This window comes from Homo sapiens, chromosome 7 (assembly GCF_000001405.40).
Source record: "Homo sapiens chromosome 7, GRCh38.p14 Primary Assembly".
NCBI classification, from domain to species: Eukaryota; Metazoa; Chordata; class Mammalia; order Primates; family Hominidae; genus Homo; species Homo sapiens.
Genome location: NC_000007.14, coordinates 48,167,103 through 48,187,891, shown reverse-complemented (window position 1 = coordinate 48,187,891; position 20,789 = coordinate 48,167,103). Strand labels below are relative to the sequence as shown.

At 38.6% G+C, this 20,789-nt stretch overlaps 1 protein-coding gene across 28 annotated transcripts in view, besides 1 other annotated feature; it reads right to left on the bottom strand.

Moving 5' to 3' along the window:
* Positions 1 to 16,434, bottom strand: part of ABCA13 (ATP binding cassette subfamily A member 13) — a 476,040-nt gene extending 459,606 nt beyond the window's left edge. For all 28 annotated transcript variants that reach the window (XR_926914.3, XR_926915.3, XR_926919.3 and 25 more), the window contains exon 1: positions 16,340 to 16,434. Coding sequence is in view for 25 of the 28 variants with exons in the window: in XM_011515130.3 (XP_011513432.1) it covers positions 16,340 to 16,408 (69 nt within the window). In the remaining 3 variants the exon portion in view is untranslated. The remainder of the gene's footprint in view (positions 1 to 16,339) is intronic.
* Positions 9,301 to 9,802: an enhancer, noted in NCBI's record as "NANOG hESC enhancer chr7:48217687-48218188 (GRCh37/hg19 assembly coordinates)". NCBI's record gives its function as "activates a minimal SCP1, AML or CMV promoter by ChIP-STARR-seq in naive and primed H9 embryonic stem cells {active_cell/tissue: H9 hESC(naive and primed)}" and the evidence as "EXISTENCE:reporter gene assay evidence [ECO:0000049][PMID:30033119]".

The following is a 20,789-nucleotide window of genomic DNA, read 5'->3' as shown; positions in this document are numbered from 1 at the left end:
AAGGAAGTCATAAAGCATGCCTGGAAAAGAAACAACTCAAATAAAATGAAGAATTTCTTTACAAGTGCCCCATTAAGAAGAACACTTTAATAAGGACAAATATTCAGAAAACAAGGGCTCAGAAAAAAGATATAAACAAATAAGTAAAAAAGAGATTGTGGATCTAAGAAAAAAAACAAAAAAATCATCACTGTGGAATGTTAAATGATTTAGAAACCATAAAAAGAAAATACATACTAGTTAAATTTCAATTTTTGGAATAAGAAACAGCTTACAATAACAATAATGATTTTTAAAAACATTTTAAAGGCAAAAATATTAAGACGCAAAAGCTAATATATTTGAAAAACAAAGACTATACAACATAAGGAAAATTGGCACCCCCAAAGTAAAGAATCCAACAAATTGAACAAAATATTTTTTGACGATATTCCTCAAAGATATAAGATAGGAGAATTTCCCTGAAATAGAGAAGATTTCATCTGCAGACTGAAAGAGTATACTATATTTCAGAAAAATAAAATAAGCTGTAGTTAAACTACGGCCATTAAACTTCAAGCTACTGAACTTCAAAAATAAACTATTACTACTACAGGTGTCTAGACAGACAAAAAAAAAAAAAAGACAACTCCCTAACAAGAGAAGAAAATCAGTCTGGCCTTAAATATATCCTCAAAACATTTCATGTTAGATGCCAATGCATCAATTTACAAAGTTCTAAGAGAAAAAAAGTAGGATTAAAAAAAATGACACACAGCTAAATGGCCTTTAAACAACAAATTTTACAAATATATATGTATATATATTTGTGATATATATAGAGAGACAGGGACTGATATATATATGTATACACTGATATATATATATATATACACACACACATATATATATGCATATACACACAGATATATACATATTCTCAATAATGAAATAACACAGATAATATATTTACCAAACACCCTGAGGGGTGAAAAGGCTTGGCAATGAATTCCAGACCAAATGAAAATGGAAGAAAATTTTAAATGAAGGAATATCACTTCTGCTTTCAGTAGTATGCTGACTAGAAACGACAGGGGCATTCCTGCTAAAAGAATGTCATTTTTCTTGCATTTCTGGTCTTTCTGGAAGTAAAATAAATCAACAAAGAGCTGAGGAGAGGAAAGTGACCAAAAAATAAATTAGAAAAAACAATTCATGAGCTGAATCTTAACATATAAGATTCAATTTAAGGGAGAGAGTGCCCCTCAAGGGGAGTGGAGAGAAAGTAGGAGTGGCTATATTTAAGTAACTAGTGGCTAAAATTTTTTTTAGAAAATATGAAAGACACAAGTCCAAATCCATAGATAAAGTACATACCACATTTACTAGGAAAGCTAAATCTACACTAAGACATGGTATAGTGAAACTTCAACACAACTAAGTAAAAGAGAATATCTCAATATCAATTCAAGAATAAGGACACATCACCTCAAAGAAATAATTAGAATTACTGAAGACTCATCAAAAATAAGAACCCAGAGATAGTTAAATATCTTTAAATTGCTGAAAGAAATTCTGTCAATCTAGAATTGTATACCCAGAAAAACAATCTCTCAGGAATGAGGCTAAAAGAAATTTTTCACATAATCAGAAACCAAGTTATCCAACAACAGACCTACACTAAAGAAACTTTCAAATAGTATGCTTTAATTTCAAATAATGCTTAGATTAAACTCACTATTTGAAAGACAAGAATTATCAAGCTTGATTTCAAAAAGAAAATGCTATATGCTATTTAGAATGGCTGTAATTAAAATATAAGGACATAGAATGGTTAAAAGGAAGGAGATGAAAAAGATATGGTAGGTAAATATTAAACAAATTAGTTATGTTAATATCAAACAAAGAAGACTTTAAGACAAGGAAAGTTGTCATTCTTATCAATATATAAGGATATCAATCAATGATTGAGAGGATTAATACATAACAAAAAGATTGATACCAAAAAGTATAATAATATTATGAACGTGTATACTTAATCATTTAACCTCAAAATATATAGCACAACAATTACATTATATTACAATATTTTATTACAGGAAGAAAATTCTGAATTTACCTTCATAGAAGGAGAATCCAATACCTACCTCAATAACTTTCTACAACAGCAAGTATTAATCAAAAAAAGTGTTTTTAAATAACATATGATTTGTATTATCAACAAAAGATAAAGCATCTGGGGGAAATTTTTGACTAAAGTTTGTGCAATTATTTCATAAAGAAAATTATAAAACTTTATTGAAAGACAGCAAAAAGAAGCTAAATATATGAACAGATTAATATCATTACTGCATTAAAAAACTCAGTACCATAAAGATGTTAATCCTACCCAGATTGATCTGTAGGCTCAATGCAATTCTAATGGAATTCCAAAAGGTTTTTGTTTGTTTTGTTTTATTTGCTTTGATCTTGCTGTTGTTATCATACTTAATGAGCTGATTCTAGAATGTATTTGGGAGAAGAATGGTCAAAAATACTTGAGACAATTTTCATCAACAGGTTGAAATAACTTGTCCTTTCATATAACAAAGCTTTCTGTAATAGTAATTAAAACACCATGCTATTAGTTCCATAATAAGCAAAGCAACCTGTGGAAGAGCCTAGCAACAGAGCTGTGCATATTTGGAGACTTGATGTATGAGAAAGGTGGTTGACAAATCAAAGGGACAATAATTTCTTCTGCAACAAATTGTGCTATAAAACTGGTTATTCTGAGAGTGGAGATAGAGGAGGCAGGGATAGATTAGGTCTTTGTCATCATCATATAAAAAACTCTAAATATGAGAAAACAACAACAACTTTCAGCCTAGGCAACATGGAGAAACCCCATCTCTACAAAAAATACAAAAATTAGCCAGGCATGATGGTGTGCCCTTATAGTCCCAGCTACTTGGGGGGCTGAGGCAGGAGGATTGCTTGAGCCCAAGGGGTTGAGGCTACAGTGAGCTGTGTTCTCACCACTGCACTCCAGCCTGGATGAAAAAGTGAGATCCTGTCTCAATAAAAAGTGAAAGAAACTGTCTTTTTATTTTTTTGAGATAGTCTTGCTCTGTCACCCAGGCTGAAGTGCAGTGGTGCAATCTCAGCTCACCGCAATCTCCGCCTCCCAGATTCAAGCAATTCTTCTGCCTCAGCCTCTCAGGTATCTAGGATTACAGGCATGCGCCACCATGCCTGGCTAATTTTTGTATTTTTGGTAGAGATAGGGTTTCACCATGTTAGCCAGGCTGGACTTGAACTCCATACCTCAAGTGATCTGCCCACCTCAGCCTTCCAAAGTGCTGGGATTACAGGTGGGAGCCATCACACCTGGCCAAAAGTAAACGAAACTTTTTTAAAATGTTCAGAAGAAAACAGACAGTTTTCCTTTTCTTTTTAATGCTTAAATAAGACACGAAAGTCATAAACAACAAAAGAAACTTAAGCTATTTACAAATTTAAAATCTCTGTTCTTCAGAAAAGCCATTTGAAGAGTGGAAAAGACCAGCCATAGACTTGAAGCATCTATTTCAACATGTATAACTGATAATGCAGTTATCTGTAATACCTACAAATGCCTACAAATCAATAGTAGGAAATGATAGAATTGAACACAGTCAAAAGAAATGAGCAGACAAGATCAAACTATGAACACCTTATATGATGCCCAGTTTCAGTAGTACTCAAGCAGATGCAAATTAAACCCCAATGAGATCATCATTTTACACCCACCAATTCGGGACAATGTAAAAAGCCTGAGAGTACTCATTGTCAGTGACCATATGCATAAACAGGAACTTTGGACAGCAATTTGACAATATTAGTAAGCTAAGGATTTGCAAATTCTATGGCCCAATAATTCAATAACTATGTAGTAAATTGAACCATATTAATTCTGTTAGATTAGACTGGTTTCAACCTTAAGAATACTATATAATTTAACCAAATACACAGTTGTTAAGAAGGGATTATACACATGAACCAAGAGGTATGCTCAATGGTCAAAAGTGTTTACACAACATTACTTGCGAAAGAAAAAAAAATTGGAAGTCATGCAAACCCCGTCAATGGGAGAATAGATCAATAAACTGTGGTGTACTAAGGCAATAAAAATAAGTGCTTTCACTCATTCGTTCATTCGGAATTGTGTACCACGTCAGGCACTGTTACAGGGACTGGGGAAATAGCAGTGAAAACCAACATGACCTAGTTTCTGTCCAAGAGGATGGAATGAATGTCCTTGTGAAACTAAATGAAGCAGAGCCGTACACAATCCCTGAATGAGGCTCTCCTGGGAATTCAGATGTGAAGACCAAGCCCTATCCTTAAGTAGTTCGTTTGCATAACCATGAAGCATTTGCAAGCACTTGCTCATTCATTATTTAATCCTCACAACAACCAGTGAGATAGGTAATACTGTGCCAGTTTTACACCTTTTATGTCATAAAGATTACTATTTTGTGCAATATCTTGGAACTAATTTGTGATGGTACCTGGACAGAAGCTCAGGCCTACAGATTAAGTATGTAATTTTCCATCTGTCTTGAACAAACAATCTCCAGATTGAGTCTAAATATATTTTTAAATCCTCCAAGTGACTCATGCGGTATGTGGATTTGGTTGCAACTAAAAACCACAAAGAATAAAATGCTTAGGTACAAAAACTAAAATTGTAAATGAATAAGAAAGAAAGAGAGCCTTTCAAAGGGAGGAGCTAGCCAGAAGATCTCGTTGGCTGAGAGAAGAGGAAAACACCATAAGTTTAGAATATCCAGGAAGCTAAAGTAAAGCACATAATTAGTCTGTTGCCCTTGTCTTTGGAAACAAAGGGCTTTGAAAGAAGCATGAAATTCTATTGTGTCTCTTTGGGGCACTTGGGGCCTCTAGATGCCAACCTCTCAAAAGAGGGGACTTTCCCAGATGTATTTTGAAGTTCTTGTTGTTAAGCACTGCAGGAAAACACAGCCCAATGTTCACACAAGGAGTTCCAACAAAGCACAAGTCCAAGCTAAGAGATAATCCAAATGCCAAACAGCAACTATAGTTACAGTTGATCTGCCTAGATCCTTTACAGTTAGGAGTCGAGGCTTCCAAACATCTCTCCATCAAAGTCCAAAATTCCTTCCCCAAGTGAATTTTTGCAAACCTTTTAGTTAGTTGGATACTGACAGAAAGAAATAAACCAATTTTTTTCTCCCTTCTCTCTTTTTTTGTGAGGAGTAGGGTTGTTTTTTGGCTTTCTATTGAAAAATAATTGCTTTTCTTTCAATGTTCATTCAATGAACATTTATTTAGCACTTTCTCAAACATTGAGCTAGAGACTTTGGCATTATAAAGATGAATGAGGAATACTTTCTCCACTCAAGTACTCCAAGGAGACACACAAATAATCAAAATTAAGTATGAACACTGGAAGGAGATGCATATTGGTACAACCCTTCAGGAAGTCAAGTAAGCAAGATGTTTTTAAATTGTGAGATGTACATACTCTTCAACCCAAAGATTCTCATTTGATAGATTTTTAATGAGGAAACAATTGGGAAAGTATCTAAAATATGTATAAAAGAGTTATTTTAATATTGTTTCAACTGCAAAAAAATTAGAAATTAAGCACCAATCGTTAGGGTATCGATAGAGCATTTTCAGCTAAACACAACTATTCTTAATGGAGTTAAATATACATATTTATGGACATTTTTTGAATCCGCAATTATTATGGTCGAGTTAGGATGTTTGCACTAGTGACTTAGGACGTTGTGCTTTTTCTGCCATGGCTGAGTGCAGGTACTCTATGGAAAGCTACAGCCTCCATAGAGGTGGCCATACAGCAGGGGAGGTGGGTATACAGGACATCAAGTGCTCCATACACAGGGACCCTGGAGTTGGCCAAGATGACTCCAGGGAGTGAGGAAAGAGGAAGGGTGAGAGGACACTCTCAACCCAAGTTCGCATTTATATTGGAATGGAAACATAATCAAAATACCAACTGGAATAATTTCTTAAGTCAAAATGGCTCTAAAATATAATTGGTAAGTAAATGTGTTTTTAAAAACAAAAATTTCCTAAGAAGAAAGAAGAGCTAGAAAAATTCTAATCCTACAAAATATTAGAACATAGTGTGATGTTTCAGTGCTTTAAAAAAAATAAAATTGGTACAAAACAGAAATGTAAATCTATGCAGTGGCATAGGAAGTCCAAAAAGAGGCCCTACTGCATTTCAAAAGATATGACAAAATGACCTTTAAGTACAAGGAGGTAAAATAGAGTAATTTAACAAGGGCATTAGGCTACTTGAATTGAGACTTAAAAAAAAAAAGATAAAACATTATACAACTCACAAGTAAATGAAAGTGTAAAAAAGAGTAAATTTAATTTTAGTAAAACAAGAAGAGAGCAGAAAATTGATCAAAGCTATGGATGAATGAAGTATAATTTCAGTAGTTTTGAAATTACAAAAGACATATTTCAAAGAAAATGAAAAGATATTTTAAGATATACAAACTGTCAAGTCTGAACAATAAAAATAAGAAAAAAAGAGGATAACTAACCAAAGAAATACTTGTCATGCACGTAATCACCAGGCCTCTAATGACACAATTGGAAAGAATTTGATGGGCAAGTTATATAAGGAAAAAATAGAGAAAAAAATTCATTCTTACACTAACTCCTTAAAATAGAAAACCAAATAAGCCCTAATACGTGTAGTCAGTTTGCAAGCACAGACCACACTGAGTCAAGGACAATACGACACTGGATGCATCAACTGGCTTTACAGGAACTGCGGGTCCCTTCTGATCAGACGCCAGCCAACAGATGGAACGAAACTAAAAAGAGTTAGTAATTTGAGTTCCCTTTGGGCTTAGCCATATTACTACTTAGAATCTGGGATTTTTTGTTTGTTGGTTTTGTTTTGTTGTTGGTAGGTTTTGTTTGTTTGTTTGTTTGTTTGTTTCATTTCCTTTTGTTTTGTTTGAGGTGAGGTCTCACTGTGTCACCCAGGCTGGAGAGCTGTAGGGGGATTGTGACTAACCACAACCTAGAACTCCTGGGCTGAAGCGATCCTCCTGCCTCAGCCTCCCTAGTAACTGGGACTACAAGCATGTGCCACCACACCTGGCTTAGAATTTATTAAGAGATGTCCAGCATCGGCCACGCATGGTGGCTCACGCCTGTAATCCCAACACTTTGGGAGGCCGAGGCAGATGGATCACCTGAGGTCAGGAGTTCGAGACCAGCCTGGCCAACAGGGTGAAACCCCATCTCTACTAAAAATACAAAAAAAAAAATTAGCCAGGCATGATGGGTGGCACCTGTAATCCCAGCTACTTAGGAGGCTGAGGCAGGAGAGTTGTTTGAACCCAGGAGGCGGAGGCTGCAGTAAGCTGAGATCACGCCATTGCACTCCAGCCTGGGTGACAAGAGAAAAACTCCATCTCAAAAAAAACAAAAGATATCCAGCATCAATATGATGTGATGTATCAAGAGTAGTATGTTAGGATAATTGAGTTACCACTAGAAACAAGGAAACCCCACAACAGAAGTGGTAAGGGCAGTGCCTAACCCCACCTGGAATTTGGGACTCACACCACCCATGCCAGTGTGTGCTGTGGACATGGAGTTCAAGGCTCTGCTGGAGACAGCACCAAGGCTGTCCTGTGGTAATGCCCCCAGTAGTTCCTGACAGTCCCTAGCATGTGCAAAAGTGTTTCCTAATTCTTATAGTTTGGTGGCATTTGTTCCTAGTTCACCCACACCAGTCTTCATCAGATAAATTCAGAGTGCTGTATTGGTGTTGTTTACTCCAGGAACCTGTCCAGGAGTGCCATAGGCTCAGGCATCAGATAAAATCGAGTCTCAGCCTAGCTCTGCTGCTTCCCTCAAATGGGCCTGTGCGAGTTACCCACCCTTCCTGGCTCATTTTCTGTAGCTGTGAAATGGGAGTAAGAAGTTCTGTCACGCAGGAGTGTGGGAAATAGGACTGATGTCCTGGGCTCAGGTGCATGATGATTGTTGGCAGAGAGAAAGAGCATACTCTGACACCATCTGGCTCCGCTGATGTGACAAAATGAAGAAGGAGAGAGTGTGCTCTCAGGACCTGCCGGGATCACAGCACAGCACTATTTTAGCTTCCATTTGGGATCTTTCGTAGCAGGCCCTGTGAGCTGACACTCATCATTCTGACATCATTCTGAATGAGCTGACATCATTCTGTGGCTCCGGGACAGAGCACCGTGCCTCCTGGCTGCTTCCCTCTCATCCCTAAAGAATGGTTATTTTCCAAGTAGGTGGGCACAAGAACACACAGGTACAATTCTCCCAGGAGCTCCAACTTCAAACCTGGAGGATGACAGGTGCTGTCTGGCCGGGACAGCCCAGGAATCGGGTAGGACCAGGCAGAGGTACTACCCCTCAGGGGAACTCTCTGGCTTAGCTGACAGCAGGCAGTGGGGGAGGAAAACATCCCCGACAGGAATGAAGCAGAGAGAGGAGAGGACACTCACGAAGAGCTGACCTCGGGTAAGGTTTCCTTGAAAGGAGCCCCCCAGAGTTCCAAATCGAAAAAAGAAATGTGCTTTTCACGAGGACCAGTTCCCCAATAAATAGCCGCGGCCTCCAATACAATCTCATAAAAATAACACTTGAGGCTGCCTTTGCCTCTGGTCTCTCACATTATTGTTACTGTGACTGTTTTGTTGTTGTTTGTTGTTTTTAAAACCTTTCCTGTAATTGAAAAACCCAGGCCTATCTGGGCCAAAGTAAATAACTCTACCAGGGAACTCTAGGCTTCCCAAGGAGACCTGCATTCACAAGTAAGAAGGAAAAGCCTCTTGGGAAAGTAAGTCTTTGTTTTTATTATTATTATTATTATTATTATTATTATTATTATTATTATTATTAGTTTTTGTTTTGCACAGAAGCCACGTAAATCCACCATCCTAAATAAAATCTCCCAGACCTAGCTTTTTGATGATCTTGTAATTTTCTCTGCAATATGCTGGTAACAATTTCAGCAAAAGAGCAACCTAGAGAGAATTATTTTCTCTTTTCAGCCTGACAGTCGAATTGGTAAATGAGAAACTGGATGGCTTGTCTTTGAAATCCAGTCAGTTTTCCATACCTTTAGAAGACTGGATAATCTCACATTCTTTTTTTTTTCATTTTATTTTATTTTATTTTATTTTACTTTTTTTTATTTTTTTGAGATAGAGTCTCGCTCTTCACCCAGGCTGGAGTGCAATGGTGCGAGCTCGGCTCACTGCAGCCTCTGCCTCCTAGATTCAAGTGATTCTCCTGCCTTAGCCTCCTCGGTAGCTGGGATTACAGGCACATGCCACCATGCCAGGCTATTTTTTGTATTTTTAGTAGAGATGGGGTTTCACCATGTTGGCCAAGCTGGTCTCAAACTCCTGACTTCAGGTGATCCGCCCTCCTCGGCTTCCCAAAGTGCTGGGATTACAGGTGTGAGCCACCATGCCCGGCCACTATTCTCACATTCTTAAACTCAGGCAATGATGCAGGACAAAAGAGATGCTCACCGCACAGCCAGACTCTTAAAGAAACACTGAGATGCTTTCACTGCAAGTGTTCCCTCACTGCCCTTCAAAGCATTTCCCTCACTGCCCTTCAAAATTGTTTTTTTAATATATATTTGGTTGTCTATTTAATCACTAGTGCTTTGAGAGAGGGTGTAGGAGGAAAATAAAGCTAAAATTAAAGGTTTAGAAGCAAATTCAGATCAATTGAAATTAAAGAAAAGGCACTGCTGATACCATGATTGTGAATTAGGAAAAACCAACCAACCCCAAACAGCTTAGCAGAGGCCAGCCCATGCTAAAAAAAATACAAAGGGAGGTTTGCTTTTATTAATTCGGTTTCTGAACTGCTTTTCCTAGATCACTGCTCTTAGCAAACCTGAGACACACTCAAATGGCCCTCAGTGGCCTGGCAGTGGCTGAGGCAGTTTCCTCCCAGGGTTCAGCCTAAGGCGAGTCCTGAAGGCCAGGGAAGCCCAGGCCAAGCCCCAAGATCCCACAGGCTCCCGATTTAATGACAAGTAGGAAGATTATCAACTTTATCTTCTCATCTAGCCAAACAGAAGTTGAATTACTCTACATTTTATTAAAGAGCCCTTGGTGGGAGCTTCGAGTTATCAGGAGTTCCATCTCACCTGCACTACTGTATGACTGCAGCCAGAGAGGGAGAAGCCATCATGTCAGTCATCCGTGTGGCCTAATCGCAAGAAATGTGTCACCTCCGTGTAAGTGCTGGAAACGAGAATAGTTCAAGGGCTCCTACACCACCTGAGAACCCTCTCGCCTCTCACTGCCAATCTTGTCCCGCAGTGCTGGAGTCTGCAGCTGAGCGGGTTTGTGTATGGAGCGCCCCTGGGTGTGGGCCGCTGCTGAGAAGTGGAGCAGAAAGTGCACTGGCTCGCAGGTGGCTGCTCAGCAGCACCCCAGCCCCACTACTGACCCGCAGCCAGTGAGGATGCCCTGACCCCAAGGACCTCTAGCCATAGGAGCAGTTCAAGAGTAGTTAGTTCAAGACTTTTTCCAACCTGACTATGAGAGAGATCAGGCACCTCACCTTTTACCTTCTGGCATCTGCTGATTCCCTTAGTAAATCCTTACAGCAAATTTGACAACAAATAGTTGATGAGCTATAACATGTAACTATGCAAAACCAGCAAAAATCCAACCTCTAAAACAATGTCCAAAAGAAATAAGACATACTTTACTTCTGAGGCTTGATATCTGTAAATTTTTTTTCAATTTCAGAAAAATACAGAAATTGTAGCTAGCAGGATTAGTGTTTGCAAAATAAAATTATTCTTTGTAACACCAAGTTCAGTTTTTAGCACCTGATTTCAGTAATAGACAAAATAAACAACAGTAACAGACAAAAATCTCAAAGAAATGAGATTATTTTGTTTTAGAAAAGAAACACACACACATATACACACAAAAGCTCTGAGGTTTGAAGTAGTTGAAACTTGAGAACATGTTTCTTTACATCTTAAAAGAAAGTAGTTGAAACTTAAGAATATGTTTCTTTACATCTTAAAGGAAAAAAAGTGATTTCCAAGGTAGTTATCTTGGAAAGCTCCCTACCTAGCCCCAGGGTAGATCTCTAGGAGGTAGATAGGCAGAGGCAGAGCCCAGCAGGGATTCAGCCTGGGTTTGGGTGAGCTGACTCAGGTCTTTCTAATGCTGGTGGAGGGATGGCATTTGAACTCAGACAGTCTAATAGGCTTCTCCCTATTCCCCAACAAGCCAGGTCAGAGGATGAGCCCTGGCATAACACCATAATTCTTATTCATGACTAAAAGAAAGTATGCATTTTATCACTGTGGCCTTTTAAATCAAGAATGCGGTGCTTTATGTATGGTAGACATCTGGATATCTGTCGCTGGGTTCTGGGATGTGGTTTCCATGGGCAGAAGGATGTTCCTAGTAAAACTGTGGCCAGTGTAGTTTTGTTGTTTCCATTATCCTCTTCCAGCCCATGGTTGGGAGAGAACCATGAGTTTTTTAAAACATTGATGTCCTCGTATTAAACTATGCTTCAACCCTCCTCCACTAGCCCAAGTCTTCAGTAAAATTGGCCAGCTCAACCCAAAAAGCTGGTATCACTTACAGGATATCAGCTTTCATTAATGGAGTAAGGGATCAGAGTCCTGTCCAGTTGGGCGGGGAAGGAAAGGACTGAGTAGCAGTCACAGGAGGCAAGATTCAGAACAGAGATCCAAGGTGTCAACAGATGTAGGATCCTGGAGACAACAACCACCCTGTGAATGGTCACTGCTCCATGATTTGAAGGATAGATTAGGGGAAGTGTACCATCCACAGTACACAGGCTACAGGCTCAGCTGCTCTGTTCAATATTAAAACATGGGAGAACCCAAACAGACTGCAAAACTAAGAGCTATCCAAGGAGCTTACAGTTGGCTTACATGATTTTCTTGTTGTTGTTGTTGTTGTTGTTGTTGTTATTAATTCTTTAAAATAAGAAGTAGCTGGTGAAGGTAGGGAGAGGGAGAGAATAGGGATAGATTTATTAAAGGATACAAAATTACAGCTAGATAGGAGGAATGAGTTCCAGTGCTCTATATGACTATAGGATGACTATATAATAACAATGATATATCACATAGGTCCACCGCAGTGGCTCACGCCTGTAATCCCACCACTTGGGGAGGCCAAGGCGGGTGGCTCCCCTGAGGTCAGGAGTTCTAGGCAAGCCTGGCCAACATGGTGAAACTCCATCTCTACTAAAAATACAAAAATTTGCTGGGCATGGTGGCACTCGCCTGTAATCCCAGCTATTCAGGATGCTGAGGCAGGAGAATCGCTTGAACCCAGGAGGCAGAGGTTGCAGTGAGCCGAGATCACACCATTGCACTCCAGCCTGGGTGACATGAGCAAAACTCCATATGAAATAATAATAATAATATATCATATAGCTTCAAATTGCTACAAGGAGAATATTGAATGTCCCCAACACAAAGAAATAATAAACATTTGACATAACAGTTATACTCATTACCCTGATCTGATCACCATACATTATTTGTATTGAAACATCACTATGTACCCTATGAATATGTGCAATTATTATCTGTCAATTTAAAAAAATTAAAATTAAAAGAAATAAAAATAAAATAAGTAATTAATTAGACTGATTTACAGTTAGAATAAAATGTAGAAATTAATAGAAATTCATGTGGAAAAGCATGGCTCAAAGCCACTGAATATTTGCCAATGTTGATGGCATTGCACTGGAACTATCCATGGGGTCACCCGTGAGACATTGTCAACTGATCTCCACCTGCCCAAAAGCAATGTTTCCTTACCTTGACCCAGAAACTTCTCCAGGAAACTTATTCAAGAGAAATGATCCAGGAGAAGGTGTGTCCTTCATGCATAATGATGTTATTCATAACAATAAGAGCTGGAAAGAACCTTAATCCTCAACATAAGGAAATGGTCAAATAATTATGTGTATACAACTGATGAACTGTTATTCAATAAAACCATTAAATAAGAAGACCATACAGTAACTTTTAAAATGTTAGGCTTCAATATAAAGTGGGAAAAAAGCTATGACTTTAATTACGTAAAAATATTTCATTATGTATGCCTAAGGATAAGAAAAGACCACAAAAGTTAATTAGGATAATAAAATTTTAGATGACTTTAAAATGTTTATCTTTTGTTTTAGTACTGTTTTTACAATAAATAAAAATCAAGAGGAAAAAATAAATGGTATTAAAATAATGGTAAGAAACTACTTTTTCCAAGAATAGTAGAATTTTAACAATCTATAGAGTTAGGTATTAAGATAAGTATGATGGGTACTATTTATCCATTATTCTATTTTTTTAAATTTTTGTTTGAATCTATAATAAGATGTTTTTTGAAGAAACTATAATCATGAAATATATGAAAGATTTTTTAAAAGTAAATGTAAAAGCATATACTGATTTGCTCTTTATGAATGATACAAATTACTAAATTATCACATGTATGCTGACACTATGTACATCTATTATGCATCAATTTAAAAAAAAAGCTAAAAAAAACAGTAAATGTAAAAACAGACAAGCTTCCTTCCTACAACAAATAGTTCCTGGCTTTACTCACTAAATAAACATGTATTTGAGGCCATTTATTCACTCAGGCAGTTTGGTTATTCCACAGTTCATGCCAACACCTCACTTTCATAGTTCAAAAACAAAGAATCTACAGATTATCATTGGAGAATGGGAGAATGCTGTGAAAAATAGGTCAGTTTAAAGACATTCACCCAGAGGGGCCTGCCCTCAATATTTCCACTGTAATAACATTAAGATATGTAAACATATTCACATTTTATCCCCCTGGAGTTCTGTTCTAACCCAACTGTGCAAGCCATGAACTGAGAGTTACCCTGTGCCTCCTCTCCTCACAGCCCACGGTTCATGTCCACAGATGTCTGAGGCCACCCATTTCTACCAAATAAGAAAACAGCTCCCACTCCTATACCAGGTACTGTTGCAAGCACATTACATGTACAAACTCATTTAATACTTACAAACAATTTCATTTTACAGAGAAGAAAACTAAGTTAAGAAATTGCCTGAAAAAGTAAACTAGTAAGTGACAGAGCTGGGATGTGAACCCAGTCAGGCAGCTCCAAATTCTATGCATGGAACCACTTGTGTTGTTTCTACTCTGTTGCTATTCTAGGCATTGCTATAATGAACAACCTTGTACAAATATCACTTCCCATTTGTGCAGGGACATCTATAGGATATATCCCAAGAGGTGGTTTCATTAAATATTTAATTGCATTTTTCATTGCTTTTCTGTGAACAGACTATAGCTCTTTGTGGGCCAGGAACTCACTTTTCTTGTTCACCCACTATCTGGCACATAACAGAGATGCATAAATGCTTTATTCCTTCCTTCTTTTACTTATTCAACAAATATTTACTGAACATCCATTGTGTGCCAGGCACTGTTCTGGGTGCTGGAGAATACATTGATGAACCAATTGGGGAAAATGTCCTGCTCTCATGCATGTAACATACTAATGTAGGATCCAGAGGCAATCGGCAAATAAGAAAATCTGTGGTGTGTTACAAGATGATAAATACTAAAGAAAAATAAGTCAAAGAAAAGTGGGATGCAGGAGTTACCACTTTAAATAAACAGTTATCAAACAAATAAAACCTTCTGATGAGGATGTTTGCCTTAGCAGCAAAAGTAATTGTGAAAATTTTTTAAAACTCAAGTATCCATTAAGGAGGAGTAGGCAGTCTGGCTACCTCGGTCACTGAACTGTTTTGAGGTAGATATGCATAAAGCAGAAAGAGCAGTGCCTGGGAACCAACTTCCACCCATAACACTCTTTCATGGGAAAATAGGCTAATTCCCTAAAACAAACTTACATGTCAATGAAATACACTGTTTATAAATGTAAAACTACCTACACAGACACGAACACACTAACAATCAATGAAGACTGTCTCACTCCTTTATTCCTGAACTTAAAACTTTTTTTTTTTTTTTTTTTTTTTTTTTTTTTTTTTTTTGAGACGGAGTCTCGCTCTGTCGCCCAGGCTGGAGTGCAGTGGCGCGATCTCGGCTCACTGCAAGCTCCGCCTCCCGGGTTCACGCCATTCTCCTGCCTCAGCCTCCCGCGTAGCTGGGACTACAGACGTCCGCCACCACACCCGGCTAATTTTTTTGTGTTTTTTTAGTAGAGACGGGGTTTCACTGTGTTAGCCAGGATGGTCTCGATCTCCTGACCTCGTGATCCGCCCGCCTCGGCCTCCCAAAGTGCTGGGATTACAGGCGTGAGCCACCGCGCCCGGCCAACTTAAAACTTTTGTACAAACTTTCAACTGAAATTATTTTGATCCTAAAGATCACATAAAAAAGAAAACATCTCCTTTAACTTGTATTTTATTTCAAGACAGAGAGATAGAATATTCTGGCTCGGAGGATTCAGCAAAATGTAATTCAATGTCAATTACTGAATCTCTTCAAACCAAAGCATTTGTCAGCAGAAAATTCCCATAGGTTAACTGTAGACCTTAAAATCAGAAACGATGCAGGTAAATTACTGCACATCTACTTCTCCTGAAAATGACATTTATAGGTATTAATGTTTATATAGTGGCATCAGGAATAAAGTTAGTCATAATAACAAGCAATTGATTTCTATTTCACAAAAACGTACACTTACAGGATATTTGCATAAGTATTCACACAAGTTTCATTTGAACAATTCCAATCTCCTTAGGAAAACCTTGCTAATGTAATTTGAATACAGTTCTAAATAGATGTGAATTAACACTAAAGATGGTGACCCTACAGAATAACAGAGTGGATGTGTCATACCCTGCTCTGGTGAGGCACACTGTGCAGTCTTGTGCTTCGGAGTCAGTACCTGTAGCATTCTGCTTATGCATTAAATGCAGCAAATGCTTTGTTCCTTAAACCTGAGAATTCACTGTTCAGTTTTTACAACGAATGCTTAGAACACAAATTATAGTTCAATTCCACCTGCTTTTTTGTTTGTTTGTTTTTAGAATTTTTCTAAATTTGCCCTTTTCTGATAAATTCTTCAGCCTTGATTTCATCCTGGTCATTAAAGTGTTCAGCTACTTTGGCCCTTGGGACGGGTTTTGATTTAAAATAATCCAACCTCCCCAAATTCCCTGCAGCATGAGTGTTTTTACCTGCCAGGAGGCAGAGGCAGGCAGGAAAGAATAGACCCTGATCTTGCTCCAGACCTCACTGGAACCCTATGGAAAACCAAGGCAAGCACTCACCGGGTTCCTGAGTCTGCAGAGCCAATTCTTCCACAGCAGGGCTTTGAACTGGCACCCGGCATGCCCCATGCCTGCTGCTCCCTGCTCTCAGTCAGGAAGCCAGCCTGTAAGGATGGTGCTTATATCTGCTGGGCTCAAGTGAAGGCATGTTGCCTATTAGTCAATTCTAACAAAAGTGAGTGATGCAAGAGAGATTACTGGTGACTGAATAAAACAGGCATCAGATGTCCCCTCTTGTTCGGCATCTGCTGAGAAATCTTTTCACTAGCTGTTCAGTGTTTCAGGAGGGTTGAATTACAGAAAGCTGCCTTCAGGGACTTTCTCGGGCATACACACATACACAGAGAGGGTGCCCTCCCTTTCCGAGAACCCACAGAACTGATCTGTGCGACAAGAAGTAATGCCCACATTTACCATTTACCTCCCTTTTTTTCTGGATATTAATTAGATGGAATTTTCCTTTTTTCTTCTGAAGCATTGGTTATTACACAAATTTGCCAAAATATTTCAATTTTGGTGGTCCCATGGCAGAGAGTTTGAAGGGAAGGAGATGGAAGCAGTGTTGGTGTCTGGGGGAGTTTGGGGAATGGGTGACTCAAGTTCCACTCTGCTACTGCACCTGCACTTCATACTTCTCCTTCACCCATTTCCTCCAAAGGGATCAGGATCTACGTTTCAAATGGTATCGGGTGCAGATGTGGCAGGACTCAGCAAGTGGCCTGTGGATTACCTCTGAGTCCTGTTTGATTCCTGAACACTTGCACTTTCTAAGTGGCATGATGGATTCAGCTTGCCAGCTGGTGGCTCCATCGTCTTGGAAGCCAGGCCCTCTTGAGTTCCTGTTGCCCCCAGTTGTGGTCAGAAGGATTTCAGGCAACCCAGTCTTGTGGTCTTCTATTTCATAAAGCAATTTTCACAAGCTGTGAATGCTTGATAAATGGCTTTTGCAATAGGAAACAGGGAACACAGGCTTCAGCAAAGAAACTGACTCAATTATTTTGTAAACTTATTTGTTTAGAGCATGCCTATTTTATTTTATTTTTTGTTACATGGCTGGCAGCACTAGAGTGAAGGCCATTACTTAGCAGGATGGCGCCCAGCAACCATAAGTGGATTTGCCTGATCCCCATATGATGTTCCCCCTTGACCTGTGACTTCTCAAAGGTCTTTGGGGTTGCCTAAGTATTGCTACTCTGGTTCTCTTTGCAGATAACATCTAGAACACCTTACAAGTAATTGTCATAATTTTTAAAAATCTAGTATAAGAAAAAGCCTCCAACCATAAGGTTTTTCTCATGTTATGTTCATAGCAGCCAGTTTTTATGCTGCTATGCCAGAATTATGTCAGAGACACAAAAATTATCTCATCCATTGCTTTCATGGAACAATGCTGTGTTAGGATTTTCAGATAAACAGAACCAATGGGTGATTCATTGATCGATTGATTGATTGATTATAAGGAATAGGCTCACACAGTCATGGAGGTGGGCAAGTCCTAAGATCTGCAAGGTGAATTAGCAAGTCAGAGACCCAAGGAAGCCAATGATATAGTTCCAGTCCGAGTCCAAAGACCTGAGAACAGGAGAGCCAATGGTGTAGTTGCCATCCAAAGACTGGGAAACTTGAGACCCAGGACAAGCTGGTATTTCCATAAAGTCTGAAGGCAGAAAACAAAAAAAAGCCAATGTCCCAGTATGAAGGCCATCAGACAGAAATAATTATCTAACTTAGGGGAAAGTCAGACTTTTTGTTCTGTTTAGGTCTTCAACTAATTGGATGAGACCCACTCACACTAGGGAGGGCCATCTGCTGAATTCAGTCTACCTACTTAAATATTAATGTCATTTATAAACACCCTTGCAGAAACTCCCAGAATAATGCTATCTTTTGTTCCGTGTTTCAGCCAAGAAAACAAACAAGCAATTAGAGCCCTTCCTAACTCCATGAGCTGCCATATTAAATGCAGAATAACTGCTTAGTGACCCCATATTAGCAAATTTGGCCTGATACAATTTTATGTTCCTTCCATCATTATCCCATACCCTTATATCCATTTCCACACATATTCCCCAGATTTCTGCTTGTATACATTAGAAAACTCAAATTGTCCATTTGATGTATAGCACACTTCCTCATGGTTTATACCTTATATCTCCCCTTTGGGTGCTGCTGGGACTTGAATCTAGTTATAGGTCTGAAATGAACGAGGAATGGTGGGAGTGGGTTCTGAGGAGAAGCAGAAGCGCCTTGCATGGCAACTGCCTCATGGTAGGACATTATAGTTTTCTTAGGCAAGGCAGGGTTGATCCCCTCAGACATGGGGTAAGAGACTACTTCCACTAGGACTGGGGAAAATGCCTCCACTTGAGTGTGGAGATCTCTTCCACATAACAAAGAAGACGTTATTTAGGGGCTCAGTGTCTCCAGCTTCATCAGGGTCTTCCCACATATCTCCATTCCAACTTTCAGCACCGCATTCCCTCCAAATCAATGCCTTTACTTTAATAGTAGACACCCTACAAGACTAGCAGTCAAATTGCATTGTAATTCAGTCAGTTGCAAGATGAGATTCTGGTTTGATTTTCTGCAATCTCAGCCCTGCAACTACAGGAAATAAGGGTCTCTTTCGGGGACACACTTAGAAACTTTCAGGTCATTTATGCAGCACTTCAGCTGGGAATTTGACCCCTGAGGTCATCCTTTTCTTTTTCCACTTTGTCCACCAACACTAGAAGCAACCAGTCAACCTCATTTTACTCATGAGTTTGACAAAAATGTTGGAAAGTATCAAATACAAGATCATCCAGACCCTTGCTTCTTCTAAGTGTTTGATTAGAAGCATCTAGTGGTGATATTTTGTGCATCTCTACTGCCACATCATGTCATGGACCACCAATTTTCTCTTTATTAGAAATAGAGTCAATAGTCTTTAAATCTAATCAGATTAGAGATTCAATCCCAGAAACCTCAGAACCTATTTAAGTTTATCCTTAAGATTCTCTTCCTCCAGAATTATTCTTAGTACCAAAATACGTATTAGGGTTCTCCAGAGAAACAGAATCATATGCATATTTATATATCTAAAGAAATTTACCATAAGGAAGTGGCATAAGCAGTTATGGAGCTGGGCAAGTCCCAAGATCTGCAGGTGAGTCAGCAACTTGGTGATAATGGTGTAGCAAGTTGGAGAGACAATGGTGTAGCTCTAGTCAGAGTCTAAAAGCCTGAGAACCAAGAAAGCAATCGGTGCCATCTAAAGGCCAGCATATTTAATAACCCCAAAGAGCCAAGGCTTCAATTCAAGTCTGAAGGCAGAAAAAAAGCTGAGGTCTCAATTTAAAGGTCATCAGGCAGGAAAAATTCTCTTACTTGGGGAGGATCAGCCTTTTTGTTCTATTCAGGCCTTCAGCTGATTGGATGATGCCAACCTACATTAGGGAGGGCAGTCTGCTATATTCAGTCTACAAATTCAAATATTAATCTCATCCAAAACACACTGACAGATACACCCAGAATAATATTTGACCATATATTTAGAAATCCTGTGGCCCCATCAAGTTGACACATAAAATTCATCATCAGAAATGCTATGAGTTTGGTATTTACATTTTTTTAAATTCTAGTTTGTGCTTTAGTTACATAAATTTAGTTGTAGGGAGATGATAGCATTTTTGTTTCATTTTGTTTTGTTTCTTTCCTGTTCTTTTTAAAAAATAATGTCCATTTTTATTTTAGATTCAGGAGTTACACATGCGGAATTGCTCTCTGGGTGTATTACACGATGCTGAGATTTGGGGTATGATTTATCTCAACCAGGTACTCTTCATAGTACCTAATAGTTAAGTTTTCCAGCCTTTGCTCCCTCTCTCCCTCCCCCTCTAGTAGCACCAGTTTCTATTGTTGCCATCTTTATGCCTATAAGTACCCAATGGTTAGCTCCCACTTAGAGGTGAGAACATGCAGTATTTAGTTTTCTCTTCTTGCACAAATTTGTTTAGGATAATAGCCTTCGACTATATCCATGTTTCTGTGAAAGACATGATTTTATTCTTTTTTATGGCTGTGTACTATTCCGTGGTGTATGTGTGCTACATTTTCTTTTTCTGTTCCACCATTGATGGGGATCTTTGTTTATTCCATGTCTTGCTGTTGTGAATAGTGCTGCAATGAACATACAAGTGTGTGTTTTTTGATAGAACATTTATTTTCTTTTGGATGAATACCTAGTAATAAGATTGCTGGATTGAATGATAGTTCTGTTTTCAGTTATTTGAGAAACCTCCAAACTGCTTTCTACAGTAGCTGAACTAATTTACATTCCCACCAACAAACTAAGTGTTCCCTTTTCTCCAAGCCTGGCCAGCATCTGTTGTTTTTTGACTTTTTAATAATAGCCATTTTGACTGATGTGAGTTGATATCTCATTGTGGTTTTGATTTGCATCACTCTA